This window comes from Homo sapiens, chromosome 9 (genome assembly GCF_000001405.40).
Source record: "Homo sapiens chromosome 9, GRCh38.p14 Primary Assembly".
NCBI lineage: Eukaryota > Metazoa > Chordata > Mammalia > Primates > Hominidae > Homo > Homo sapiens.
Window position 1 is genome coordinate 93085343 of NC_000009.12, and position 27952 is coordinate 93113294.

At 51.8% G+C, this 27952-nt stretch overlaps 1 protein-coding gene and 1 long non-coding RNA gene across 13 annotated transcripts, besides 8 other annotated features; one reads left to right on the plus strand and one right to left on the minus strand.

The window, feature by feature from the left end:
- Positions 4427-4927: an enhancer, noted in NCBI's record as "H3K4me1 hESC enhancer chr9:95852051-95852551 (GRCh37/hg19 assembly coordinates)". NCBI's record gives its function as "activates a minimal SCP1, AML or CMV promoter by ChIP-STARR-seq in naive H9 embryonic stem cells {active_cell/tissue: H9 hESC(naive)}" and the evidence as "EXISTENCE:reporter gene assay evidence [ECO:0000049][PMID:30033119]".
- LOC101927993 (uncharacterized) lies at positions 6118-10168 on the minus strand. The gene is made up of 4 exons (NR_188444.1): positions 10026-10168; positions 9229-9672; positions 6650-6751; positions 6118-6357 (listed from the first exon to the last, which is right to left on the minus strand). It is a non-coding gene; the product is annotated as an uncharacterized LOC101927993 (long non-coding RNA).
- Positions 9863-9912: an enhancer, noted in NCBI's record as "active region_28612". NCBI's record gives its function as "activates an Ori minimal core promoter by ATAC-STARR-seq in GM12878 lymphoblastoid cells {active_cell/tissue: GM12878}" and the evidence as "EXISTENCE:reporter gene assay evidence [ECO:0000049][PMID:35858748]".
- Positions 10023-10332: a silencer, noted in NCBI's record as "silent region_20037". NCBI's record gives its function as "represses an Ori minimal core promoter by ATAC-STARR-seq in GM12878 lymphoblastoid cells {active_cell/tissue: GM12878}" and the evidence as "EXISTENCE:reporter gene assay evidence [ECO:0000049][PMID:35858748]".
- Positions 10353-11102: a silencer, noted in NCBI's record as "silent region_20038". NCBI's record gives its function as "represses an Ori minimal core promoter by ATAC-STARR-seq in GM12878 lymphoblastoid cells {active_cell/tissue: GM12878}" and the evidence as "EXISTENCE:reporter gene assay evidence [ECO:0000049][PMID:35858748]".
- Positions 10875-27941, plus strand: CARD19 (caspase recruitment domain family member 19). 12 transcript variants are annotated; one of them, NR_160513.1, is made up of 7 exons: positions 10875-11010; positions 22332-22485; positions 23649-23750; positions 25226-25379; positions 26537-26596; positions 26876-26947; positions 27650-27941. NR_160513.1 is itself a non-coding variant. In NM_032310.5 (6 exons), the coding sequence occupies exons 1-6, from the start codon at positions 11004-11006 to the stop codon at positions 27763-27765; spliced, it is 552 nt and encodes a 183-aa protein (NP_115686.3). In that variant the 5' UTR covers positions 10875-11003; the 3' UTR covers positions 27766-27941. The 12 variants fall into 12 exon arrangements, 3 of the variants coding, with proteins under 3 accessions (NP_115686.3, NP_001304940.1, NP_001304939.1); NR_134467.2 differs by having other exon boundaries at positions 22332-22474; NR_134466.2 differs by lacking the exon at positions 23649-23750.
- Positions 11123-11232: a silencer, noted in NCBI's record as "silent region_20039". NCBI's record gives its function as "represses an Ori minimal core promoter by ATAC-STARR-seq in GM12878 lymphoblastoid cells {active_cell/tissue: GM12878}" and the evidence as "EXISTENCE:reporter gene assay evidence [ECO:0000049][PMID:35858748]".
- Positions 13106-13175: an enhancer, noted in NCBI's record as "active region_28613". NCBI's record gives its function as "activates an Ori minimal core promoter by ATAC-STARR-seq in GM12878 lymphoblastoid cells {active_cell/tissue: GM12878}" and the evidence as "EXISTENCE:reporter gene assay evidence [ECO:0000049][PMID:35858748]".
- Positions 22163-22663: an enhancer, noted in NCBI's record as "H3K4me1 hESC enhancer chr9:95869787-95870287 (GRCh37/hg19 assembly coordinates)". NCBI's record gives its function as "activates a minimal SCP1, AML or CMV promoter by ChIP-STARR-seq in primed H9 embryonic stem cells {active_cell/tissue: H9 hESC(primed)}" and the evidence as "EXISTENCE:reporter gene assay evidence [ECO:0000049][PMID:30033119]".
- Positions 23091-23240: an enhancer, noted in NCBI's record as "active region_28614". NCBI's record gives its function as "activates an Ori minimal core promoter by ATAC-STARR-seq in GM12878 lymphoblastoid cells {active_cell/tissue: GM12878}" and the evidence as "EXISTENCE:reporter gene assay evidence [ECO:0000049][PMID:35858748]".
- Positions 27942-27952: the final 11 nt, after the last annotated feature.

Genomic DNA, 27952 nt, shown 5'->3' on the forward strand with positions numbered 1-27952 from the left:
CCAGGTTCAAGCGATTCTCCTGCCTCAGCCTCCTGAGTAGCTGGGACTACAGGTGCCCACCACCACGCCCACCTAATTTTTTGTATTTTTAGTAGAGATGGGGTTTCACCGTGTTAGCCAGGATGTCTCGATCTCCTGACCTTGTGATCCACCTGCTTCGGCCTCCCAAAGTGCAGGGATTACAGGCGTGAGCCACCGTGCCCAGCTAAATAATTATTTCTAATACTGAAAAATACAAAGGTAACAGTGGTTGGTTGATGTTAGAGTCAGCAGAGGAGACTTCCCTTTTTTTGTTTGTTTGTTTGTTTGTTTTCAGAGCTAGTTTCTGTTTAACTCTGAAGAAAAAAATCTGGTATTGGTTAGCAAGGAAGGAGTGTACTGAGGCATGACTGACCTGTCTTAGTCATGGGCAGTTCTCCTTGGCCAAGACAGGTCCATTCAGTCAGTCAGTGGGGCTTAAGATTTTATTTCACAGCCATAGCACCCCCACATGGCAGCCTCATGTGGCCTGGGCTTCCTCACAACATGGCAGCCGGCGTTCAAGGTGGAGTTGCAATGTGAGCACCAGGTGGAGGCCATTTTGCCTTTCAGATCCCAGCCTCGGAAGTCATGCTGTGTCTGTTCACTGGGAGTCAAGGCTGCCTTCTAATCAAGGGGCAGAGAGTTGGACTCCACTGCTAGGTGGGAAGAGTGTTGACTGGTGAGAAGAGAATTGGCAGACACACTTTACGACCATCACAGTCACCTTTTTTTTTTTTTTCTGAGACAAGGTCTTACTCTATCGCCCAGGCTGGAGTGCAGTGGTGCGATCTGGGCTCACTGCAACCTCCGCCTCCTGGGTTCAAGCATCACAGTCACCTTTAACCCAATCACTTGTCAAAGCAATTTTATAAAAGGTGACTAATTTTGGTCGGGCACAGTGGCTCACGCCTGTAATCCCAGCGCTTTGGGAGGCCAAGGCAGGCTGATCACCTGAGGTAAGGAGTGTGAAACCAGCCTGACCAATGATGAAACCATGTCTCTACTAAAAGTACAAAGATTAGCTGGGCATGGAGGCATGCACCTGTAATCCCAGCTTCTTGGGAGGCTGAAACAGGAGAATCGCTTGAACCCGGGAGGCGGAGGTTGCAGTGAGCTGAGATGGCGCCATTGCACTCCAGCCTGGGCAACAAGAATGAAACTCTGTCTCAAAAAAAAAAAAAAAAAGACTAATTTCTTATTCTCCCAGCTTCACTCCCAGAGGGGTTATTTGTACTGCAGGCCTGTGTGTACATAGCCATGCCTACTGCAGGTGTGGTTTTAGACATTTCTACCTGCTGCTGTACCTCTTGTTTGCTTCTACTTAAAATGAACTCGGAGCTCATTCTGTAGCTCTCTGCCCTACCCTCTCTTTCAACTCTGAGCCCCACATTTGTCCTGGGCCAGTTAAAACTACACCTTCAGCCTCCCATAATTTGGGGTGTGACCTGTCTCTGGCCATTGAGAAAAGCCACTGGGTTTGCCCTTTGACCTCCCCTGCTTCCTGCCTGGAGCCCAGCAGCCATGTTGGGGCCATGAGGAAGAGAAGCCGAAGGTCAGGAGGAAGAAGCCCTTACACTATATGGCTCCTTGTGGGCTGAAGCCACACTTGTCATGTCCCTTAGAACCAGATACTTTCGTGATTCACGCTACTCAGAGTCGTCCATCTGACAGGTGTCCCATGATTTATGTGACACATCCCCAGCCAAGGGATGCTTGGGTGGTTTCACATTTCTGGCCTTCACATTTCTAGACACCTTGATACTGGGATGCCATTTCCTTTGGGTGGATTTCTGGAGTGGGACTGTGAGGCCAGAGAGTGTGCCTGGTGGTTTCCTGTCAAGTGCTGGAGTATCTCAGGGCTTCTGTGGGCACACAGGGACACTGAGGCAGGGGAAGTGCAGATCCAGCCCTCACCAGGCCAGTGCAGCTTTCCTCTGCTGGGGCTCCTGACAGGCTCAGGAGAGCTCTCCTTGGCTTTTTTTTTGTTTTGTTTTGTTTTGTTTTTTGAGATGGAGTCGCTCTGTCGCCCAAGCTGGAGTGCAGTGGTGTGATCTCAGCTCACTACAAGCTCCGCCTCCCGGGTTCACGCCATTCCCCTGCCTCAGCCTCCCGAATAGCTGGGACTACAGGCGCCCGCCACCACGCCCGGCTAATTTTTTTGTATTTTTATTAGAGACTGGGTTTCACCATGTTAGCCAGGATGGTCTCGATCTCCTGACCTCGTGATCCGCCCACCTCAGCCTCCCAAAGTGCTGGGATTACAGGCGTGAGCCACCCCGCCTGGCCTTTCCTTGGCTTTTATGGGAGTGGGACGTGGTGTCCCTTGGCTGCATGCCTCAGGGGACCTGTAGGCTAAGCAGCAGGTCAGGGTCAGGGCCTGGGGTGGCATGCTTGCCCACAAGCCCAGCGTGCCACTGCTTATCTGGATACCAGGGATATTGAATCACTTCTAGCTCCTTATAGGACTTAAGCAGCACCAAGGTTTGGTGCTGTTGACAAAAGGCTCCGGGCTCTCCTGTTCTAAGTTCTAGTCCCCATTCAGCCCTTTCTACCACTAACCCCCATTGTGAAGCGGGACCAGGTAGGTGGAGGCTGTAGATCACCACCATGCAGGACGGGACAGGCCAGGTGGCTGGAGCTAAGGGGAGCCCAGAGGCCCCCTTGAAATTTGAAGGGCCTGCAAAGGAAATGGGTGTTTTGTGCCCAGGTGGCTGACCCTGGGCTACTGGAGCACAGAACAGGAGAACTGGGGTGAAGGGCTCCAGCTCCCAGTAGCTGACAGTTACAGAAATGGGTGTCCGGATGGCCATGGAGGGGCTGCACTGGGCAGGGGGGCCAGAGGGGAGGAAATGATATGGGGCGTGGCAGGGCACAGCCATTGCCCAGGAGAGCTGTGGGGCATAAGCCCCTCACAGTGCAGCATGCTGGATCCCCCCACGTCTGCGCCATGGCCTAGGGGTCTCAGCTGGACCAAGAGATGGTACAGCTAGGGAGCAGAGAGCCGAGTAGTCCCGCAGGCATGGTCTGACAATGCGTGTAAGAGGACTCGGCTCTCTGGGCCTCTAGGATTTTTCTGGGGAGATTTGGGGCCAGCTCCCCCTTCACCTTGCTCCCAAGGCAAGGAGCTGGCCCCAAATCTCCCCAAAAAACCCTAGAGGCCCAATTCCCACTAGTACTGGGAACAAAGAAAAGGGACCACCAACCGCTCTGAATTTCCCGGACACACCCAGCTCACTCCCACTGAAGGCCTTAGCACACGCTGTTCCCTCTGCCTGGAATGCTTGGCCCTTGCTGGCCACATGGCACATTCCCACACTCACCTTCTCAGCTCAAAAACCAGTAACTTCTGTCCATCAGGACTAGTGAGGTTATGCTACTGAAACGAACAATCCCCTGAATCTCGGGGGTCAGACCACCAAGTTTATTTCCTTGGTCACCAGGGACCCCGGCTGGTGGAGAAGCCCCCATTCCAGCATGGGAGTCCACAGTCTCGTGGCAGGGGAAGAGGATACAATCCACAGTCTCATGGCCTCTGTGCTAGGCCCAGGATGGAAGAGGATACAAGGGTAGGGGGTGCTTGCACCAGCAATAAAATGCTCTGGCCTGGAGGGAGCACACATCACTTCTGTTCATAATGTGTTGATCAGACTAAACCACACCACAAAGTCACCAGGGGTTCACTCTCCAGGGGTGGTAAAGGAGTGGGGAAACAGCCATGAGCAACATCCAGACTACGATGGCATCCTTCTTGTCGCTTCAAGACCACTGAAGCCTGGTTCAGCTGTCTTTCAAATTCGGTGTTGGTGAGACCCATGTTTTCCAGTTGAGATGAAAGCTAAGTTATCAAAGAAACATGAGTCAGCCTTAAATACAGGAATAGTGCCATTCTGATAACCAGAAGTGGCTGAAAAGTTAGAGAATTGGCTTAAGGTGTCAAAAGGAGACATCTTTATTCAGTAGAATGTAAGTGATTGGGGAAAAAAATCGTGTCTCCTGAACCAATTCCTGAGCAACTTGGTTACCTATGTGTTTCATTTTTCTATCGCTGTATAGTGAATCACTACAAAACTCTGGCTTAAAGCGGCAGCCGCCGCCATGTTATCCTGCTTGCTCCCGATTCTGTGGGCTTGCTTTCTCCTTAGTAGGTGGTTCTGGCTTGTGCCTCTCACATGCGGTTGCAGTCAGAAAGTGGCCAAGGCAGAATCTCCCAGACGCGTGTTCACTCACTGGGTTTCAAGAGTAAGCACCCCAAGAGACAGCAAGTAGGAGCTGCCGGCTCCTTAAGGCCTGGGCCTAACACGATGTTCTATTGGTCAGGCACTCCCAGAGCTCAGATTTGGATGCCCCTAGACATCTCACACTCAGCATGGACAGAGGAGAACTCAGTTTTCCTCCCTCCTTCCCTGCCCCCAGGCCAGAGCCCTTCCCTTTCTCAGGCCCCACAGCCAATCCTCCGGCAAGTCCTTTGGCGCATCCTCAAACTTCATCCAGAATCCGCACCTCCTCCCTACCTCAGAGCTGTGGGAGGGAGAAGCACCCTCGCCCCGGTTCAGGCCTCTCACCTGGACCGTGAAAGTAGCCTCCTCATGGTCTCCCTCCAGTCAAGCCCCCGACCAGAGTCAACTTACACACAGCTGCCAGAAGGTTTGTTTTGTAAATTATGGCAAAATACACAAAAAGTTCACCTTTTCCTTTGAGACAGTCTTGCTCTGTCACTCAGGCTGGAGTACAGTAGCATGATCATAGCTCACTGCCACCTTGACCTCCATGGCTCAAGGGATCCCACCTCAGCCTCCCAAGTAGCTAGGACTACAGACAAGTGCCACCACGCCCAGCTAACTTTTTTACTTTTTTTTTTTTTTTTGGTACAGACAGGGTCTCACTATGTTGCCCAGGCTGATCTTGAACTCCTGGCCTCAAGTGAACCTCCTGCTTTGACCTTGCACAGTGCTGAGGTTACAGGTTTGATTATCATTGTAATCATTTTAGGTAAACAGGTCAGCGGCATTAAGTGCATTCGCGTTGCTATGCAACTGTCACCACCGTCGATCTCTAGAACTTTTTCATCTTCCCAGACTGAAACTCTGTCCCCATGGAACACTAATTCCCCATTCCCTCCTCCCTCCAGTGCCTGGCAGCCACCATCCAGCCTTCTGTTTCTATGAATTTGACTAATTTAGATACCTCACATAGGTGGAGTCCCGCGGTATTTGTCTTTTTGTAACTAGACTATTTCACTTTGCATGATGTCCTCAGGGTTCACCCTTGTTGTAGAATGGGTCAGAATTTCCTTCCTTTTTAAGGCTGATTAAGGCCACATTTTGTGTATCCTTTCACCTGTTTTTTTTTTTTTTTTTGAGATGGAGTCTCACTCCATCGCCCAGGCTTGAGTGCAGTGGCATGATCTTGGCTCACTGCAACCTCTGCCTCCCAGGTTCAAGTGATCCTCCTTCCTCAGCCTCCTGAATAGCTGGGACTACAGGCACCTGCCACCACGCCTGGCTAGTTTTTGTATTTTTACTAGAGATGGGGTTTCACCATGTTGGCCAGGCTGGTCTCAAACTCCTGACCTCAAGCGATCCACTCACCTCGGCCTCCCAAAGTGCTGGGATTACAGACATGAGCCACTTCACCCAGCCTATCCATTCATCTCTTGATGGACACTTGGGTTGTATCCACCTCTTGGCTACTGTGAATCAGTGTACAGATAACCTCTTTTGAGACCTTGCTTTTAGTTATTTTGTGTATATAGAGGGTTGTTAAAATATGTAAATCAGAGCAAATCACCATGCCCTTCCCCCAGCTTACAGCCCCCAAACCATGGGCTCCCAGCCACCTGGCCTGCATGACCCTGCCTAATACGCCCAGTCACTCCCTGTTACTGTTCCCCTTACTCCACTCCAGCCACAATATCACAATGGTTGTCTCTCAGGCACAGCAAGTTCATTTCTGCCTCGGGGCTCCTGCCTGCCCTGTTTCATCTGGAACACTTCCCCAGCTATCATCTAGCTTCCGCAGTGCAGCAAGGCCTCTGCTCAGATGTCTAGTACATTAGTTATTTATTGCCGTGGAACTGATTACCCAAAAACATGGGAGTTCAAACACAACAATCGTCATTTATTCTCTTTCACTTGGTGGGTCAAGAATTTGGGCTTTGCAGGGTGATTCTGACATAAGGGTTTCTTATGCCACTGCAGTCAGATGTCAGCCAGGGTTGCAGTTTCATCTGAAGTCTCTATTGGGGCTTAGGATCCACTTCCAAGATGATTCACTCTCTCACAGTGAGTCACTGCTGGTTGTTGGCTGGGGGCCTAGTTCCTCTCCACACAGGGCTCTCTGCAAGGCAGGTTGAGCATCCTTACAATATAGTAGCTGATTCGCCCCAGAACAAGCTATCTGAAGATGCAAAGGCTGAAGCCATGATGCCTCTGTGACCCAGCCTCAGAAGTCACACTGTCACCCCTGCCACACTTCACTGGCCACACAGACCAGCCTGATTGACTGTGGGAGGAGACTACACAAGGGCATGACCTGGAATGTGAGGATTGCTGGGGCCACCTTGGAGGCTGGCAACCTCATAGGCATCCTCCGCCTCTTTCTTTGCCTGACTCATCTCCCTAGCTCTTACCAGATCAACATGCAGATGTGTGTTTGTGTCCTCTGGTAACAGGGAAGCTCCATGGGGGAGTGGAGCTTCCAGTCTTCCTTGTGATCCAGCTCTGGGTTGGGCCTATGTTTAGGAGATATTTGTTGAATGAATTAATGAGTGACTGAATGGATAAATGATGCTCCCTGGCCATGTGAGAATGTGGGAGGAGAATGTCCTTGCTCCTTGGTGTTCAGGCCCTTCATCACCTACCATCACCTCTTGGCCTGGTTACAGTCAGCTTCAGCCATGAAGGTCTCCCACAGCCCATGGGGGCCTCATGCCTCCTGCCCTGGCCTAGGAACACCCGTTCTTCAGCATCAGCCTCTCGGGGAGGCCACCCTGTCATCTTTATAGCATCTGTCCTTGCCCTCCTATCCTTAACCCTAATCATCAACAGAACTATCTGTGTGCATTCATTAAGTGCCTCCTGCATGCCAGCCTTTGTGGAGTGAACACTGCAGCACAGATGATGGTCAGTGGAGAAGCCATCATAGGGCAAGACTAGTGCTCTGAAGAACAGAGATGGGGGGTGGGGTGCAGTGGCGAGTGACGTGGTCCAGAAGGGCCAGACTCCAAGTGGGGGTGAGGATGCTAGACACAGAGCTGGGAAGAGCATTCTGGGTGGTCACAGCACACATGAAGATTTGTAAATGGCAGAGGTGGCTGCTGGAGGAACTGGAAGGCTGTGAGCCCGGGTGAGGGAGGAGGATGGTCAGACTCAGTGTTATGACCCCTGTGGCCACTATGTGGGTACTGGGCCATGGGGACAAGGATGGGGCAGGGAACCAGTGAGATGTGAGAAGGCGGCTGCCACCTTCCAGGCAAGACATAACAGGGATGGCGGTCACTGAGGTGGGAGCAGGGCTGGGCTTGGAAGGCAGAGCCCACAGGGTCAGGGTGCAGGTGAGCAGAGGCCTGAGGAATGGCTGGCCCTATGAAAACCAGGGGGAGTGCCCCCACCCAACCCAGTGCAAAGAACCCCTGTGGAAATTAGCTTTGCCTGTATAATTTTAAAATTGTGCCTGCTTTCTAATGAGATCAAGCATGTGATGGCAAGAAAATCTGAAAGAAGCAAATAGTAAGGTGGAGGCCGTTCAGAGGAGTGGGGGTGTGTGTGTGTCAGGGCTCTGGCTTCTGTGACGTTGACAAAGATTCTGTGCTTGACAAACTTTAGCCAGGGTCCTGAACTTTCTCCTTGGCCCATCTGTGAACTTCCTTGTAAAATCCAGTTTCAACAAAGAATCCTCCTAATGAGTTTGGCAAGAACTCCCCACCCTGGATACTTGATCACCCTTGATACCCAATCAGGGTGCTTACCCCCACCATCCCCTGGGTGAGGTCTCGTAAGCCCAGGCTGTCTTTGCAAGAATTCTGTCAGCCGGAATCCCCTTCACCCTGATGTTTCCTCTTCCTAATTTTCCATCCTCAAAGTCCCCTCCTGTCCCAAGTGTCCTTGCTGTATTTGGAATTGAGCCCAGTTCTCTGCTGATGTCTCTCTTCCCCTATCACAAGAGTCCCGAATAAAAATCTGTTTCTACATCTGTAACCACAGTCCAGCTCTGGTTTTTCTTTGACAGTGTCCAAGGGCGGGGCTTCCTGTCACACCTCACTTCACTCCTTCTAAGGGGCCCCTCCACCTTCCCAAGAACTCACTTTCCATTTGGGGTCCAGGCAGCCACAGCTGGCAAGAGCTAGCCCGGAGGGAGGATGCGTGTGCTATGCCTGGGGGAGGGGGAATGCCCAGGATCTGCCATTTGACCATGGGGTGCCCGTGCCTGCTTGCAGCCCCCGTGGTGGGCATCCAGGCTGTACACCCCTGGCTGCACCAGCAGCTGTCCTGCTTTCTGCCGCGGCCTTCCATCTCATAGGGTTGGAGGGCACATCCCAGAGGGCACAGGGCTTTCAGTCCCTGCATGCAGGCTTGGGTTCCTTTAAGTAAATCCTTTTCAAACCCTCAGGTGGCTGAGGAACAGCGACCTGTACTTGGGAGGCCACATCTGGCTGCTAGATTTTGGGCAAGGGGCTTCATGCTCCAAACCTCAGTTTCCCTGTTCATCACATGGCCAGGGGCAGTCCTGAGGGCGCAGAAGTGGATGTGAAGGTGGGATGCTACCTTTCCCAAAAGGGGCTGGGGTCAAGGTTCCCTGAAGGTGGGCAGTGCCTGGAGCCCCTGCAGTCCCCACTGTGTCCCCCTTCCACTCCGTCGCCACCCTTATGGCTCTGACATCACTCAGGGGCAGGAGTGTGTGCAAAATAAACCCAGAGAAGTAAGTACTACACGTCATAACAGTGTGATGGATGCAGAAGAATTGGGGTCAGGCTGCATCCCACTGGGGCAAAAGAGGCCCTCTGGGGAAGCCCCCTCTGGGTCCTCCAGGGGAGCACCTGGAGGCCAGAGCCAGCCTGGACTCACCCAGGCACACAAGCAGATGAGAGGCCTGCAGGGACCCACAGGCTGGTCCACTACCCTCCTGCCCTGGGACGGCCCTGTACATGGGCCTGGGGCAGGCTGGGTCTGATGGCAGCCTGGCCTCCTGGGGAGCATGGACGGGGCTCACCTTCAGTGTTTGGGGACAGGGGTGGCTGCTGTATAGTGACCATGACTGGGCCCCAAGAATTTTGAGGTTTCCAGGTGACAACTGCACCCATTCTCCTGATGCCCCCTATGCCGGCCCTGATGGGAGGTCATGGCACAGGGGAGAACTGAGGCAAAGAGACAGATGGCGCATGGACTGCAGGGACCACTGTGCTGTCCGAGAAGGGGACACTGAGTTGGGCCCCCATTCCGGGTCAGGCTCTGGCATCTCAAATTAGAGCTGCTATGGGGGAACGGCCCACACAGGCAGGGAAGGAAAGAGGAAGGGAAACTGCTGCTGCTGGCTGGGAGAGTGCTGCTATTCCTTCCTTCACGGGTCTCCACTTCCTGGCTGGGGCCCAGTGCATTCACATCATGTGGGGCTAGGAGCTTCTTGTGGCGGGCTCCGGAGCTGGAAATGCCAGGCCTACGAGAGGGAAAGCAGGAAGGAAAGCGGGAGGGAAGTGGAGTTGGCCCAAGGTCACTCATTTTACAGTCCAGGAAACTGAGGCTCAGGCAGGTTAAGTGACCTCTCTAGTTCGGGTCACACTGTCAAGCTAGTGTCTTCTTTTGAAGGTGGGGGACTGGGGTCCCCCAAGAAGGTGTCCCCCCCCCACCCCGCCGAGCGAGGTCACACCGTTGAGTCCTTCTCCCCTGGATTTGGGAAAGCATCACTGGGCACTGCCTCCTTTGGCTGGTCCCTGTGGCGTACTGGACGCCCACCGGCCTTTTGCCCCAGGCCTGGCCCTGTACTCCCCAGGGCCTGACTTTCTGTATGACGTTGGATCAGTCACGTCCCCTCTCAGTTTCAGTTTTCTCATCCAAGGGGTGGGGCGCGAGGCCGGGAGCGGGGAGGTGGACTGAGCCGGCCGGCGGGCCACCTGGATCCCGACTCCGCCACTCAACGCGGCAGGGCCCGGAAGGGCGGGCCCAAGACGGGCAGGGCTCCGGGCAGGAGCGGGCGCCTCCAGGGAGGCGCGCGGCGGTCGTAGCTGAGGCCGCCTTGAGGGCGGGACTTGGACGCGGGCAGGGCTCGAGTGAGAGGCGGGGTTAAAGGCCGCTGCGACGGCGTTATAGACGCCGGCGGGACCGGGGCCCAGCGAGGGGAGGGACTCTGGGCCCCTCGCGGCGTCTTAACTGACGCTGGGAGGGGCGGGAGTCCGGTGGCGCCCGCCCACGCCCGCAGTCGCCCGCCCACGCCCGCAGTCGCATGGCAGAGCAGGAAGGGGCGGGGCTCAGGGCCCCTGGAGGCGCGGAGGCCGACGACGGAGGGGGGCGGGGCTCGAGTAAGGGGCGGGGCCCGGTGGGGGGTTCCTTGAGGCTCGGAAGCCGTCGTCGGAGGGGGCGGGGTTCAGGTGCAGGGCGGGGCTCAGAACTCCGGGAGAGGCGGAAGCCGACGCCGGAGGGGGCGGGGCTCGAGTGAGGGGCAAGGCTCCAGGATCCTCGCAGCGGCCTATCCCAGGACGGCAAGGGGGCGGGACTCGAGTGAGAGGGGCGGAGTTTAGAGCCCTGGGGGAGCCGTAGCGGGCGCGGAAGGGGCGGGGCCTAACGGTAGGGGGCGGGGCTCGTCAAAGGGCGGGGTTTAGAGTCCCCGAGGCTACACAGCCAAAGCCGGGGGGCTGGCCTAGCCAAAAGGGGCGGGCGAGCACGGCCCGCGGGCGGCGTTCGCTGGAGCTGGTGGACCGGGCGGCTGACCGAGGGGCGGACGCGCGGCGGGGCAGACCGCTGGGGACTGCGGGCGGCGCTGTGTCCGTCGCCATGACAGGTGGGCACGGGGTCGGCTGGGCGGCAGGGATGCGGGCGCCCTGGATGGGTGGCCCGGCCCGGGGGTCCGGCTGCCTTGCGAGTCGCCTGCAGGCCGCGCCTGGGCAGCGGGGGCCGAGTGACCTTGGCCCGTCAGCTGTCGGTGGTGCGCGAGTGCACCCCCGCGAAGTGGTGGGTGTCCCGGGGCTTCTACCCGGCGGGGCCGTGCCAGCCGAGGCGGTGCCGGGCATGATGGGTGGTGGCCAGGTGCGGGGCCCGAAGAGGGCGGGGGCTACAAGGCAGCTCCAGGGTGGGGCTGCACAGCCGCGGTCTGGGCTCAGCCACTGCCAATGTGTGTGTGTCCCGTGGTGGGGAATTTGGTCTGAAAGAGTAGGAGGTGGTAGAAATGACACCGGAGAGAATTCACAGCGGTCCTGCTGTGATTCTGGCCACGGAAACAACGCTCCATCCTTACAACCACCCCAGCGAGGTCGCGGGACAGGCGATGCGTTCCTCGGCGGCATGTGATTCCTGTGGGACTCTTGGAGTCTCCCAGACTCCTTCGGTGGTCCACGACGCTCTTGCCCCTGTTTAGTTCTAAGAGAATCGGGGACAGCGACTGGACCCCCCAAGGTTGTTGTGCTCCACGCTAGTGGCCCCAGCCCAGCCTTCCTCCCCAGGGCCTCTCTGGTCTGGGGACCTGCCCACCATCCTCCTGATCCCAAACAGGGTGACTCTGCCCTGTGGACCTTCCCCTGTTGGAGAAGCCCCATGAGGGTGATGGGCTGGTAAGGGACCCCATGGCAGCCCGGCCAGGGAGTATGGGGGTTCCCAGAAGCTACACTTCATTCTTACTGTTCTGTTTCATGGAGCAGAATTGGCTCAGGGGCTCAGGGTAGCCCCAGAAGTCCCTAGTCCTCTCTCGGTGCTCGCTCTCTTGAGTCTCAGCCTAGGTCCTGCCCACAAATAGGATCTCATGGGCTGGAAACTGATGACTTCCAGGACACCAGGCCAGAAGAGACTTCCAGCCTAGGCCACAAGAGACCCCAGCTGCCACCTGCTCCCCTTTGTCCTCCCTTCTAACTCTTCTTATTTGTGGCTCTCATTTCTGAGCACTTACTGTGCATTGGACCCTGTGTTGGGTGATTCCTGTTTGAAAATGATCAGATGGGGACACCTGGAATATCTCGTCTGTGTACAGATGGGGAAACAAAGTCTTAAATTGTGCCCTGCCCAGGCTGGGATTCCGTAATTCCCTTAGTGAGTTCATCAGAATGCGTGGGACACAACTCAGAGCTGTGTTGGTCTCCAGGGAGCCCTGTCCCAGGGACTGGGTGTTGGCAGAGCCTGAGGCCTTGCTGTCCATTAAGGAGCCTTCCTGCACAAAGGGACTTTGTCCCTTTCTGCCTGTCAGGGAAGCTTCCTTGCATAAGGGGACCCTGGAGCTGGGAAACCACATCAGGCAGGGGTCCCTGAAGGCTCTGACTATAGGCCTCACCTTGTCCAGTGTATGCTTCCTACCTGCTATGTCTACTCACTGGGCCTGGAGACATTCCCTCACAACCCTTAGTTTTTGGGATGGGGAACCAAGGCCCATGGAGCACAGCTCTGGGAGGGTCATATGGACAGCCCTGCGAGGCTGCAGACCCATAGTCCCAGGCTCACTGCCTCCATGCACCAACTGGGGTCCTGCCTTGCGCCAGCCCTCGCTGTGAGCAGCGCATGTGAGCCAGTGCCTGCAGAACGCTGAGGAGGTGTCTGCGTGGGGCAGGTGCTTGACAAGTTACCCCCTGGGCTGTGCCGGGGAGTGAGCAGTTTTAGTTGGGCTGAGCACTGAGAGAAGGGGTTTCCTGGAAGAAATTCGGGAGAGGAGGTTGATGCCCAAGTGTCTGGACTCCAGTTGGTTGGGGATGACAGGAACTCAGGAAGGCCTTTTGCACGTAGAACAGCAAGGTGAACATGAATTAACCAGGTGGAAACCAAGGAACAGGTATTCTCAGCCTGGGCTGAGATGTCTTGTGGGCCTAGAGGGCCCGGTGAGAGTGGGTGGGGCCAGCTCCCACGGGGCCTTGAATGCCAGGCTGAGGGCATCAGTCTGGGCTGATAAGAAGGTTCATATTGGGGTGTTTGAATGGGGGTCCATAGTCCTGGTGCCAGCCTGGCAAGAAGGAAGGGGATGTAGGGCGTGGTGAAGGCTTGCCAGGTCTGTGCCAGAGCGAGCCATCTTCCTTTGTCCTGTAAAAACAGTTCAGGGACTTGTTTATCGGGAGCTGGCACTGAGATGGTTTCCCTTCTTGTGCCTTTTCTGGCTTCCAAGTGCTGCCTGTTTGTGTGCACAACTCGCAACCACAGGAAGCACAGGACCCCCAAGCCGCAGAGCCTGGCTTCAGCCTCCGGACCGTGCGGCCTGTGCCAGCTGACTCACGGCTCATGGTGACTCATGGCTCTGCAGCAGCGGAGGCTCTGCCTGGTTAGCGGCTTGCAGGGCAGGAGGAAGCCACTACAGGATGCTGGCCACGGTCCACCTACAGCCCTTGCCCCTGGGTCTTGGACCATACATTGCAGAACTCTTTTTTTTTTTTTTTTTTTGAGACAGAGTCTCATTCTGTCACCCAAGCTGGAGTGCAGTGGTGCAATCTTGGCTCACTGCAACCTCTGCCTCCTGGGTTCAAGGAATTCTTCTGCCTTAGCCTCCTGAGTAGCTGGCTCAGCCTTCTGAGTAGCTGGGAATACAGGCGTGTGCCAGCATGACCAGCTAATTTTTTTTGTATTTTTAGTAGAGATGGGGTTTCACCATGTTGCCCAGGCTGGTCTTGAACTCCTGACCTCATGATCCATCTGCCTCGGCCTCCCAAAGTGCTGGGATTATAGGCGTGAGCCACCGCGTCCGGCCTGCAGAACTCTTTAGTGAGCACCTACTGGGTGCTCAGCCAAGTGGGCAATGCTGGAGAGGACAGCCTTGGGCGTGCTTTTGGACTGGCAGGGAGTAGACTGCTGTAGCTGATTACAGTGAATTTCCATGTTAATTAGAGAGGCAGAACGTCTGAATATCAAGAGGTGGTCCTCAACATGGCTGTGCCTGGGCCTGGATCTTGATCTGTCACTTCATATCTGGTTGCAGTCTTGGGCAGGTACCTTATCTTCTCACTGTGCCTTAGTTTCCCTACCTGAAAATGGGGCTGGTGGTTGTCCTTATGTTGCAAAGCTGTTGGAAGGATGAAGGTTGTAGGTGACGTAGGGCTCACAGAGTGCCAGACATATGGGATTGCTCTGTGAATTTTGGCTAATTCATCTTAGTTCTTTAACGAGAGGGCTGCAGGCGCTGGACCCAGACTGCCCAGCTGGGCCTGTCCATGTGGCCTTGGCAGGTCACTTGACGTCCCTGTGCTCAGCTTCCTCACCATGATGGGGCTGCTGGCAAGTCCGCATAGGCTGCTGTGGGACTCAGTGCAGGTGAGGGCTGAGCCAGCCTTTCCAGCCCCCAGCCATCTGCCTCCCTGCGCGGCCCACGGTGAGTGGCTTCAGCCAGATGATGGAGTGGCTGATGGCCTCAATGTGGGCATCATCAGGGGCCCTGTGAACCAGGATGGCCCCCCTATTGTTCTCTGGAGGGCAGGTATCTCTGGGGTTAAGGATACGTTTGTGGGTTTGCTTGGTGAATGCCAGCCCGCACCCCTACACTGTGAGCCCCTGGAGGATGGATCTGCCCATCACCGTGGTCCCCAGCCCCGCACAGGGCGAGCGTACTGAGACGGGCTGTTCTCACCTGGGCCTCAGTCTGTAGGGTCTGCACAGGGCCCCACGGAGCATGGCTGCTTTTGGGGTGGGTCCACATTCTGGGGTACAGAAAGACCAGCCAGGAGGAAGTGGCAACTGGAAAGAGACATGACAAAGTAAAACAGTCTGTTGAGTCTGTGCCTCAAGGAGTGAACCCAAGAGGGGGCCCCACTGTGTTCAACATGATGACACTGTTTTTGTTTTTGTTTTTGGTTTTTTCTTTGAGACAGAGTCTCACTGTTGCCTGGGCTGGAGTGCAGTGGCGCACTCTCGGCTCACTGCAACCTCCGCCTCCCAGGTTAAACGATTCACCTGCCTTGGCCTCCCAAAGTGCTGGGATGACAGGCGTGAGCCACCGCGCCCAGCCTTCATTTCTTTTTAGCACTGAATAATATTCGTTGTATGGATAAACCAGAGTTTATTTATCCATTTACATTTTTTGTGAGAAAATATATGGAAACATAACATTTACCTTCTTACCCATTTTTTCAGTGTACACTTCAGTGATACTAAATACACTCACAGTGTTGTGTAGTCATCACCACTGGCCATTTCCAGAACTTCTTTATCATCCCAAACAGAAATTTTGTACCCGTTAAACAATAACTCCCCTTTCTCCTTCTGCCCACACCTCCTGGTAATCTGTATTCTATTTTCTGTCTCTATGAATTTGACCCCTCTAAGTACTTCATATAATTGGAATCATATAATATTTGTCCGTTTGTGCCTTGTTTATTGCACTTAGCATAATGTTTTCAAGGTTCGTCCATGTTGTAACATCCACGTATCATAATTTCCTTCCTTTTTAGGGCTGAGTAATATTCCATTGTACATAGGTATATACCACATTTTGATAATTCATTCGTCTTTTGGTGAACATTTGCACTATTTCCATCTTTTGGCTATTTTGAATAGTGCTGCTATGAAAACCAGTGTGCAAGTATCCATTTGAGTTCCTGCATTTATTTATTTATTTATTTATTTATTTGAGACAGAGTCTCACTTTGTTGCCCAGGCTGGAGTACAGTGGTGTGATCTTGGCTTAGTGCAACCTCCGCCTCCTGGGTTCAAGTGATTCTCGTGCCTCAGCCCCCTGAGTAGCTGGCACTACAGGCGAGTGCCACCACGCCTGGCTAGCTTTTTGTATTTTTAGTAGAGACGGGGCTTCGCCATGTTGGCCATGCTGGTCTTGAGCTTCTGACCCCAAGCGATCTGCCCACCTCAGCCTCCCAAAGTGCTGGGATGACAGGTGTGAGCCACCACCCTCGACTGAGTTCCTGCTTTTTGTTTTCTAGGGTACATACCTAGAAGTAGAATTTCTGGATCACACGGTAATTCTTTTTTTTTTTTTTGAGACGGAGTCTCACTGTCGCCCAGGCTGGAGTGCAGTGGCATGATCTTGGCTCACTGCAACCTCTACCGTCCGGGTTGAAGCGATTCTCCTGCCTCAGCCTCCCAAGTAGCTGGGATTACAGGTACCCGCCATCACACCCAGCTAATTTTTGTATTTTTAGTAGAGACTGTGTTTCACCATGTTAGTCAGGATGGTCTCGATCTCCTGACTGCATGATCTGCCTGCCTCTGCCTCCCAAAGTGCTGGGATTACAGGTGTGAGCCACCGTGCCGGCCATCACAGGATAATTCTATGTTTAGATTTTTGAGGACCTGCCATACTGTTTTTTTCCACAGTGGCTGCACTATTTTACATTTTCACCACTAATGCCAAAGAGTTTGAATTTCTCCATATCCTCACCAACATTTGTTATATTAATATATAGCTATCCTAATGAGTACGAAGTGATATCTCATTGTGGTTTTTATTTGAATTTCCTTAATGACTAATGATGAGCATTTTTTTTTTTTTTTTAATTTGAGACCAAGTCTCGCTCTGTTTCCCAGACTGGAGTGCAGTGGCGCCATCTCGGCTAACTGCAACTTCCACCTCCTGGGTTCAAGCAATTCTCCTGCCTCAGCCTCCCAAGTAGTTGGGATTACAGGCACGCACCACCATGCCCGACTAATTTTTGTATTTTTAGTAGAGACAGGGTTTCTCCATGTTGGCCAGGCTGGTCTCGAACCCCTGACCTTAGGTGACCTCAGGTCATCTGCTCCCCTTAGCCTCCCAAAGTGCTGGGATTACAGGTGTGAGCCACTGCACCTGGCCTGATGAGCATTTTTTTGTGTGCTTGATGGCTAGTTGTATATTTTCTTTAGAGAAATGTCTATTCAAGTTCTTTGCCTATTTTTGAATTGGGTTCTCTGTGTCTTTTGCTGTTCAGTTGTAGGAGTTCTTTATGGAGTAAGGATACTAATCCCTTATGAGATATATGCATTGCAAATATTTCTTCCATTTATGTGAACTGTTTTTTCACTTTCTTTTTTTCCACTCTTTTAATTAAAAATAGGGTTTAATTCTAGACTCTCTTATTCTATGCCAGTGACCCATATGTGTGTCTTTATGATAGTACCACATTGTTTTCATTATTGTATATTTTTACACTAAGTTTGGAAAGCAGGAAATATGAATCCTCCAACCCTGTTGTTGTTTTTTTTTTTTTTTAAGATTTTTGTTGTTGGCTATACAGGTATCTTGAAATTCTATATGAGTTTTGGGGTGGGTTTTTCTATTTCTGCAAAAAACACTTAAGATTTTGATAGGGATTGCATCGAATCTGTAGATTGCTCTGGGTAGTGCTTGCAGCAATGTTTTGTGGCTTTCAGTGTACAAGATTTTTGCCTTCTTGATTAAATTTTTTCCTAAGTATTTTATTCTTTTCAATGCTATTATAAATTGAGTTGTTTTCTTAATTTTTGGATTGTTCATTGTTAGTATGTAGAGATGAAATATTTTTGTGTGTTGATTTTATATCTTGCAACCTTGCTGCATGCTTTTAATTAGCTCTAACTTTAAAGAAAAAGATTTTAGGGTTTTCTATATATAAAATCATGTCATCTGTGAACAGAGAAAATTTTACTTCTTCCTTTACAATTTGGATGCCTTTTATTCCCTTTTCCTTTTTTTGCCTAATTGCTCTAGTTAGGACTGCTAGTACTATGTTGAATAGAAGTGGTAAGAGCAGACATCTTTATCTTGTTCCTGATCTTAAGAAGCTTTCGGTCTTTCACCGTTAAGGTATGATGTTAGCTGTGGGCTTTTCATATAAAAATGTCCTTCAATATATGAGGTGGGATGGTTCCAGGAATCCCCTCAAAATAATCTGAGGATGTTCAAATCCCTTATATAAAGTGCTATAATATTTGCACCTATACACATCCTTCCATATATTTTAAATTATCTCTAGGTTACTTATAATACCTAACACAATGTAAATGCTATGTAAATCGTTGTTGTACTGTATTTTTAAAACTTGTATTTTTTTGGTTGTATTGTTATTTTGTATTGCTTTTCCCCAAATATTTTATATCTGCTGTTGATTTAATCCCTGGATATGGAAACTGCAGAGATAGAGTGCCAACTCTATGGCCTTTATCATGTTGATGAAATTTCCTTCTGTATTAGTCCATTTTGTGCTGCTATAACAGAACACTTGAAACTGGGGAATTTATAATGAGCAGAAATTTATAGGCTCATGCTTCTAGAGTTTTGGAAGTCCAAGATCAGGGAGCTAGCATCTGGTGAGGGTCTTCTTGCTGTGTTATCCCATGGTGGAAGGCAGAAGGGCTAGAGAGAATGAGAGGGAGCAAGAGAGGAAGAAAACAAATTTGAAACTTCAAGCCCTTTTATAATTGGCATTAATCCCTTCAAGACAGTAGAGCCCTCATGACCTACATACCTCCCATTAGGTTCTATCTCTCAGTACTGTTACTTTGAGGATTAGGTTTCCAATACATGCTTGTTGACACATTCAAACCATAGCATCTTCTAGACCTAATTAATTGAATATTTATATCAAGAAAGAATGATGACATTTATCAAATGCTTTTTCTATGTCAACTGAAATGGCCATGTATTTTTTCCTTCATTCTATTAATGTGGTATATTTCATTGATTGATTTTTGATTTGTACATGTTAAACCATCCTTGTATTCCAGGAATAAATCAATGTATACTTCTTTTAATATGCTGCTGAATTTGATTTGCTGGATTTTATTAATTTTTCCATCAATATTCATAAAGAGTATTGGTCTGTAGTGTTCTTTTCCATTTTTCTTTTTTCACAGAGACAAGGTCTTGCTGTATTGCCCAAGTGTGGTCTTGAATTCCTGGCATCAAGTGACTCTTCTGCCTCTGTCTCCCAAAGTGGTTTTCTTTTCTTGAAGTGACTTTGTCTGATTTTGGTATCAGGGTAAAGCTGACCTCATAGAATTAGTTATGAAGTGTTCTCTCGTCTTCAGTTTTTTTTGTAAGTTTGAGAAGGATTGGTATTAGTTCTTCTTTAAATGTATGGTAGAATTAACCAGCAAAGCTATATTAGTTCTTCTTTAAATATATGGTAGAATTAACCAGCAAAGCTATCTGGTCCTGAGCTTTTCTTTCTTGGGACATTTTTGATTACTGATTTAATCTTACTAGTTATTGGTCAGATTTTCTATTTCTTCACAGTTCCGTTTTGGTAGATTGTGTTTTTAGGAATGTTTTCATTTTATTTACGTTATCCAATTTATTGGTATACAAATGTTCATAGTATTCTCTTATATTCCTTTTTATTTCTGTAAAGTTCATGGTAATGTCCTACTTTTATTCCTGATACTAGTAATTTGAGTCTTCTTTTTCTTTGTCAGTCTAGCTAGTTTTGTCAGTTTTATTGATGTTATCAAAGAATCAACTTTGGTTTTCTTGATTTTTCTCCACTGTTTTTCGATTCTCTATTTCATTTGTCTTCACTCTAATCTTGATTATATCCTTCCTTCTGTGAGCTTTGGGTTTAGTTTGCTCTTCAAGCTCTCTGGTCTTTACTTTTTCCTTTTCTCATTCCTTAAGGTGTAATGTTAGGTTACTGATTTAAGATTTTTTTAATATATGCATTTGCAACTATAATTTTCCCTCTCAGCATTGTTTTTGCTGCATCCCTTAGGTTTTAGCGCGGTGTAAGGTGTGTGTGTGTGTGTGCACGCGCGTGTGTGTGTGCGTGTGTGTGTGTGTGTGTGTGTGTTTCTGCCTTTCTCATGTTACCTCCTAATTTACCTCATGATTTCTCTTTTGACCCATTGGTTTTTTGTTTGTTTGTTTGAGACAGAGTCTTGCTCTGTCACCCATGCTGGAGTGCAGTGGCACAAATTCAGCTCACTACAACCTCCACCTCCCAGGTTCAAGGATTTCTCGTGCCTCAGCCTCCCAGGTAGCTGGGATTACAAGCGTGCGCCAACATGCCCGGCTAAGTTTTGTATTTTTAGTAGAGATGGGGTTTTGCCATGTTGGCCAGGCTGGTCTCAAACTTCTGGCCTCAAGTGATCTGCCTGCCTTAGCTTCCCAAAGTGCTGTGATTACAGGTGTGAGCCACCATGCCTGGCCCCATTGGCTGTTTAATTTTCACATATTTGTGAGTTTTTTTAGTTTTCTATTATTGATTTCTGGTTTCATTCTATGTGATCAGAAAATATTTTTTATATGATTTCAACCTTTTTGAATATATTAAAGCTTATTTTGTGGCTACAAACTTGTTTTGTGGCCTATCTTGGGGAATGTTTCATGTGCACTTGATAAAAATATCTCTTCTTTATTGTGGTATGGAGTGTTCTGTGTATGTCTGCCAGGTATAATTGGCTTACGGTGTTGTTGAAGTCCTGTTTCCTCATTTATCTTCTGTCTAGTGGTTCTGTCTCTTACTGAAAGTGGTGTTTTGAAGTCTCCAAATATTATTATAGAGATATCTATTTCTCCCTTCAATTCTGCCAGTGTTTGCTTCATATATTTTGAAGCTCTGATATTTGGTGCATATATGTTTATAACTGTTACATATTATTGATGAATTTATCCTTTTATTAATACATAATGTACTTTTTAATCTCTTCTAATCGTTTTTGACTTATAGTCTATTTTGTCTGATATTAGTATAGTTACCTCATCTCTCTTTTGTTTACTATTTGTATGGGTTTTTTTTACATCCTTTCATTTTCAACTTCTTTGTGTCTTTAGATCTAAAGTGAGTCTTTTGTAGACAGCACTTAGTTGTATCATATTTTAAAAATCCACTCTGCCAATCTATGCCTTTTGATAGGAAAATTTGGCTGGGTGTGGTGGCTTACACCTGTATTCCCAGCACTTTGGGAGGCTGAGGTAGGCAGATCACCTGAGGTCAGGAGTTTGACACCAGCCTGGCCAACATGGTGAAACCCTGTCTCTACTAAAAAAAAAAAAAAAATACAAAAACCAGCTGGGTGTTGTGGCACATGCCTGTAATCCCAGGAAGAATTGCTTGAACCCAGGAGGCAGAGGTTGCAGTGAGCCGAGATTGGGCCACTGCACTCCAGCTTGGGTGACAGAGCAAGACTCTATCTCAAAAAAAAACAAAAAAAAAAAAACAAAGTTTAACCTATTTGCATTTGAAGTAATTGCTGATAAGGAATGTATTACTACTGCCATTTTGCTATTTGTTTCCTGTATGTCTTGTAGCTTTTTTGACCCTCATTTATTCTATTACTGCCTTCTTTTGTGTTTTGTTGATATTTTATAGTAACACATTTAGAGTCCCTTCTCAGTTTCTTTTGTGTTATATTCTATAAATATTTTCTTTGTGTACATGGGGAAACAGGACAAGCTGCCACAAGTATGTAGGGTGATGCACTTGTTCAGTCCCTGTGGGGGTCCTGTGCCCCATCCTCTCCATGCCCTTCCGTCATCACTCCACCGCTCAGCCTTAAACATCTGCCATTCTAAGAAACATTCTTAATGGAAAAGGTGGTAAAATGATATTTTAATGGTGATTCTGGAAAAAAAAAAGGCAAATGAAAAGCATTTCTAGCCCTCTGGGAGAACTCACTGGTTTATTGTTGGTAGAAGCTTCTTAAGGCCTTGCAGACACACTGTGTCCCATGGTGATCCCAGCACAGGCCACCCTGAGCCCTGTGTCCCTGTATCTGTGCCACTGTGAAGATCTGCAGAGCGCACATCTGGGCATTCTTGATCTCGAACTCCTGAGCTCAAGTGATCCACCCACCTCAGCCTCCCAAAATGTTGGTATTACGGGTGTGAGCCATCACAACTGGTCTGAGCCACCGTGCCTGGCCCTGGGCATTCTGAGCCACCTGTGCCACCTGTACCTTCCCCAGAACTGAGCTATTTCCTGATGGCCCTGCAGGTGGCCCATGAAAAGTAGATTCTTCGCCCCTCTGAGTTTGTTTTCTGTGATAAGCTCTGTGAAAGTGGGTTTCCACCGCAACCCCTCACTTCCATCTTCTGGAGAGGCAGGTTGGCAGGCCAGGGGCAGCTCTCAGCTGGGCAATGCGCACCACACAGGCTGGGATGGCTGTGATTCTGCAGGTTCACCCTCCTGGTGGGAACCCACCTTGGGGGTGATGCCTTCCTGTGGTCAGTGTCAGTACGAGGCTGTCGTCTCTGGTCCCCTTGGGCTGTGCTGGCTCATGACCCTGTGCTATCTGTTTTAGATCAGACCTATTGTGACCGCCTGGTGCAGGACACGCCTTTCCTGACAGGCCATGGGCGCTTGAGTGAGCAGCAGGTGGACAGGATCATCCTCCAGCTGAACCGTTACTACCCACAGATCCTTACCAACAAGGAGGCGGAAAAGGTGCTGAGGAGGTGAGGGGGGTACCCGAGACACTGCTCAGTTTCCCTTCCTTTCTGGGCTGGGAGAAGCTGGTGACCAGCCCTGGGTCATTCTCTCATGGGATGACACACTAGGTATGTCAGGATTCAGAGGTGACACATCTGGACCTGGCTACTAAGGCTGCCTGAGCTACAAACTGGCCCTTTGGGGTGAGCCCAACCAGGCTCGGAACATCAGCTCTCTGTGCCTCGGTTTCTTCATATGTCATTGGGTCTGCTGTCCCCTTCCCGAGTTGCTGGGAGGTTACAGGAGATAACATGTGACAATACATGAAGCACACAACAGTATAAGATACGGAGGGAGGCGAGAAAGAGGGCAGGAGGGAGGGGTGAGGAGGGAGGAGGCAGAGGGAGAGCCGAAGTGGGATGGGGAACAGATAATGGGCCCGGCCCACCCCAGTGCCACAGGGCTTTGCACTCTGCATCTTCCGAAGGTTCAAAGCGGGCAAACAATTGCTTCCTTTTCTCTAATTTCTATATTACTGTACGAGGCTGGAAAGCCCAGCATGTCACAGGTAGGCAGCTGAGCTTCTAGGAAGGCAGATGCTGACTCACCCCACAGCCGCGCCCCAGTCTGCCCCTCTCAGCAGTGCTGAGCGGGCTGGTCCCCTCAGAACCCCAGCCTCCCCCATGTGTGGAGTGGACACCGAGAGCCCCTGCCTGGCAGGTGTGGTGAGGACTGACTGAGCTGAGCCGGGTAAACGCCTGCCCGAGAGCCCTTGTCGCCAGATGGCCCTGCAGCCCTGTGGGCAGCCACGCTCATCACCCCATCTCACAGAGGTGGTCCGAAGGCTCAAGAGGCAGCCACTTGCCCAGGGCCACTCATTTCAGGAGTGTCAGGCCACATCTTGAGTTCATCCTATTATTTGGGAAAGTGCCCAGGGCCAGTGGCTGTCACTCTGTCACATGGCCCTGGCCTCTCAGAGCTGCAGAGCTGGGCACACCAGGGTGGCTCTGCTGGAGATGGCATTTAAGATGCAATTCCTGGGCTCTGTCTTGGGAGGTCTGTTCTGCTCCATCACCCCAGTGCCAGGTGGCCCTGAGGGGACATTGGATGAGAGAGTTAGCCACACCCTGCCGACCCTACCCACATCTGTGGCTCTGGCGCCCCCACTGAGCCACCTGTTCCTTGACAGGTGCCACGTGCAGGGCTATCCTGAGGGTTGGGGCATCTCCTGGAACAATGAGGTTGGCCCACAACAGAACAGGAGTCAACACGGGCCCTGCTACTGGCTCAGGTGCTTCTTCCGTTTTGAAGGTGGTACAGTAATTTTAAAAGTTAGGAGCTCAAATCCAAATCTCTTATTATTGCAATTGAAGTCTAATGCATGTTCACTTTTAAAAAGTTTAGAAAGTTTAAGACGTTTATACAAGAAAAAGCACATATTCCTTCCTCACAGACACCACAGCTCCTGCCACCCATCTGCCTGCCATTTTCACACTGCCATGGTTTAACTCCAGTTCCCTGTGGCCATGTAGAATGATATGCTGCCACCAGGTGGCAGCACCAGGCCACAGACTCCAGGTCCTGGAGGTCAAGGCCCAGTGGCCTGTCCACTGACCTTGAGAACCACACATTTCTCTGTCATACACATCAAAAGAGCCAATACTTCTGTCTTTTTTTTTTTTTCTTTGAGATGGAGTCTCTGTCGCCCAGGCTGGAGTGCAGTGGCATGATCTCGGCTCAGTGCAACCTCTGCCTCCCAGTTTCAAGCAATCCTCTGGCCTCAGCCTCCCAAGAAGCTGGGATTAAACATGCACCATCATGCCCAGTCAATTTTTTGTACTTTTAGTAGAGATGGGGTTTCACCGTGTTGGCCAGGCTGGTGTCAAACTCCTGACCTGGAACTCCTGATCCGCCTGCCTCAGCCTCCCAAAGTGCTGGGATTATAGGCATGAGCCATTGTGCCTGGCTTCAACTTACTTTTTTAAAACTTGAATCACATTCTGTAGACTGAAAAATAACAGAAGTTAGCACTTATACCATCACTTCATTAATTCCCTGTCACAGCCTACCATGAGGGTTCATTATCCCTTTTTTACAAATGAAGAAACCAAGTCTCTGAGGGGTGGAGTAGCTGGCTAAGGTCACACAGGAAGCCACACTATGTCCCAACACTTGGAATGATGTCACCAGCCCTGTGCTTTCTTTTTTTCGAGATGGAGTCTTGCTCTGTCGCCCAGGCTGGAGTGCAGTGGCACGATCTTAGCTCACTGCAAGCTCCGCCTCCCGGGTTCACACCATTCTCCTGCCTCAGCCTCCCGAGTAGCTGGGACTACAGGTGCCCACCACCACACCCGGCTAAGTTTTTTGTATTTTTAATAGAGTCGGGGGTTTCACCGTATTAGCCAGGATGGTCTCGATCTCCTGACCTCGTGATCTGCCTGCCTCAGCCTCCCAAAGTGCTGGGATTACAGGCATGAGCCACCGCACCTTGCCAGCCCCATGCTTTCTTTGTGACCACTCCCAGCCTGTTTCCCAACCTCCCACCCCACAGGGAGTATGAGGAGTAGCAGTGATGCCTGTGACAGAGGCAATGCCAGGCACTATGTGGTGTGGGTAAGGGGCAGGTTGTCACAGGAGCTGCCATCCAGCAGGTGTCCTGACACCCAACAGGGAAGCTGAGGCTGGGGGCCTGACCTTGGTGCCCTGCCCTGACCCACAGCCAGCCCCCCTGGCCTGATCTTCCCTGGCACCCCCTTGTACCCTCAGTTCCGGAACCCCAAGGCATCCTTGCGTGTGCGGCTCTGTGACCTCCTGAGCCACCTGCAGCGGAGCGGTGAGCGGGACTGCCAGGAGTTCTACCGAGCCCTGTATATCCATGCCCAGCCCCTGCACAGCCGCCTGCCCAGCCGCCACGCTCTGCGTAAGTTCCACATCACCAACCATGCATGCTTGGTGCTGGCCCGGGGAGGGCACCCCAGCCTGCCGTTGATGGCATGGATGTCCTCCATGACCACCCAAGTCTGCTGCAGCCCAGGCCTGGCATCCCCTCTCGCCTCAGCCCCTCCCCAGAGGCCACCCTCTGGCCCCGAGGGGAGAGTGTGGCAGGCACAGGCAGTGCAGATGTTGGTCTCTGTCTCCCACTTTCTCCCCCTTCCTCCGTCTCTCTCTCATGGCAGTTTTCACACAGCATGGGGCATCTTATACGTCCACTCTTGCCCTTCCTTTTCTAACCTCATTCCACGGGGATCCCTTCATGTCTGTGTGGACAGCAACCTTGTTCCCACAGCTGCATGGCGCTCCTAGGCGGTCCCAGCTGGAATTACCCAACCCCATGACGGACCCTTTCATTGCAGCGATCTGCACACGTGTGGGTGTTTCCATAGGACATTGTCAGGCACGGATGGCTGGTCCGAAGCACGTGCATTTCAGTTTTGAGGCTCCTGTCCTCAGGCAGTGTGGACTCAGGCCCTGGGAGTCATGTGGATGCCAGTAGCCTGGGCCCACAGAGCTGCTGGGATGTGGGGGGCATATCAAGTTGAAGATGGCAACTCTGATCTGACGCCTCTGTGCTCAGGGCCCCTGGAGGAGGGGCTACTGCCCCTTGGCCCTTAGACAACAGGACAGAGACCAGAGGGACTGGGCGGCTTGTCCCAGGCTACTGGGCTGTGGTCTCTGACCCCCTGGAGGCCTCCCCACGCCTCACAGAACACAGTGCAGACGGTGGGCGGGGAGAGCTCGAGGGGAGGCCCAGCCCTGCAGGTGGGACTGGCTCTCCCTCCCCAGCCACGAGTATGCCACAGGGGGCTTTCAAAACCAGGCAGGGCCAAGCCTTGGCCCCACTGGAGGTAGAGCACCTTCTGTGGCTCCCGGGTGCCTTTAGGCCCGTCCAGGAGTTGGAGCAGAGGAGAAGACCCAGACTGTGCATAGTTCCCTGAGGAGGGCTAGCCTCAGGTGCCACAGCCTGGTTCGGCCTGGCGGCCCCAGGAGGCAGCAGCAACCTTGGGCTTCCTGCGGGGTGACTACCTTGCCCTCCGGCCCTGCCCGTTGACTAACTATGCTCTGTGGTTTTGTTTCCAGAGAACTCAGATTGCACAGAGCTAGACTCGGGCAGCCAGAGCGGCGAGCTGAGTAACAGGGGTAACACCTCCCTGCTGCCCCTCCCTCTCTCTCCCTCTCTCTCCCTCTCTCTTTACCCTCCCCAGGGCTCCATCTCCGCCTCAGGGGCTTCTCCACCCCAAGTCTGGCTCCATTCCTGGCCTTCTGTTGGTGACAGACCCCCCCCCTAAGGTGCTCGTTTGGGGGCTCTTCAGGCAGCACCTCAGCCTGGCACCCCCACTCCCCTGCGCAGCCCCCAGGCCTCAGGACCCCACCCCTCTGAGGCCCAGGGGAGCCCTGTTCACGCTGGTTTCTCCCCAGGACCCATGAGCTTCCTGGCTGGCCTGGGCCTTGCTGTGGGACTGGCCCTGCTCCTGTACTGCTATCCGCCAGGTGGGTGCAAGCGGATCCTCATGGGGCTGGGCCTGCCTCCCCTCTGCCACCAAGCCAGGGCCCCAGACCCTGCCCAATTTGGGACCCCTTGGCCTCTTCGTACCTCGGTGTCCACACTTGTGCAGTGGGATGGTGTCACCTCGCAGGGCTCCTGAGAAAGGGGATGTGAGGAGGCTCCCAGCGTCCACTGGCCCCTGCCACCCTTGGGAACCAGAGAATGATGACCTCTAGCGGGAGGAGGGGTGCAGCCAGGACTCTGGGTGTTACAAAGCCCTGCCACATCTGTGACCTTGAACCATGTGGGGCCCTTGAGCAGGTCACGTGCCCCAGGGCCTTGGGTCTCTCCAGCAGCCACAGGCCTGATGCACAGGAACCTTCCAGGGCCCCTCTACTGGCACCCAGCCTGGCCTGCCCCGTCTCCCTTTTCTGTGATGCCTGAGTTTGTCGTGCTGGGAGGCTTACTGGGTGAGGGGACACAGGCACACATGGCAGGACTCAAAGGCCCGTGGGTCACTCGGGTGGGAGCTGGGGGCTCTGGAATCTGCCCTAATTCTTGTCTTTTCAACTCAAGCCGAGACCATGACCGGGAGGGAGCACCCTGTCCCAGTGCCTGTTCCCACCCACCCCCGCAGGAGGGATGGAAACACAGAATTCACCTCTGGGACTGGTTCTTGAGCTTTTGCCTCCCCTTTTGTCTTCTAGACCCCAAGGGCCTGCCAGGGACCCGGCGCGTCCTCGGTTTCTCGCCTGTCATCATCGACAGACATGTCAGCCGCTACCTGCTGGCCTTCCTGGCAGATGACCTAGGGGGGCTCTGACAGACCCTGGACCCAGGGCCTCACCTGCCACTCAACCAAAGAGTCCTCGAGCCGGCCCGCCAAGGGGACTGCTGCTTCTTTTTCTAAATGCATATTTTTCATTATTTATAATTTGTGTAAAAAACACACCTTCACCTTACAAGGTGCTGACCATATTAAATGTTCAGGTTCTCTCAGCCTGCCTCGT

What these genes read in the sequence shown, in the direction of transcription:
- CARD19 (NM_032310.5), top strand. An exon ending in GCCCAGCCGCCACGCTCTGC is followed by an intron (nt 25,380 to 26,536) that starts GTAAGTTCCACA and finishes TTTTGTTTCCAG; the next exon opens with AGAACTCAGATTGCACAGAG. An exon ending in CGGCGAGCTGAGTAACAGGG is followed by an intron (nt 26,597 to 26,875) that starts GTAACACCTCCC and finishes GTTTCTCCCCAG; the next exon opens with GACCCATGAGCTTCCTGGCT.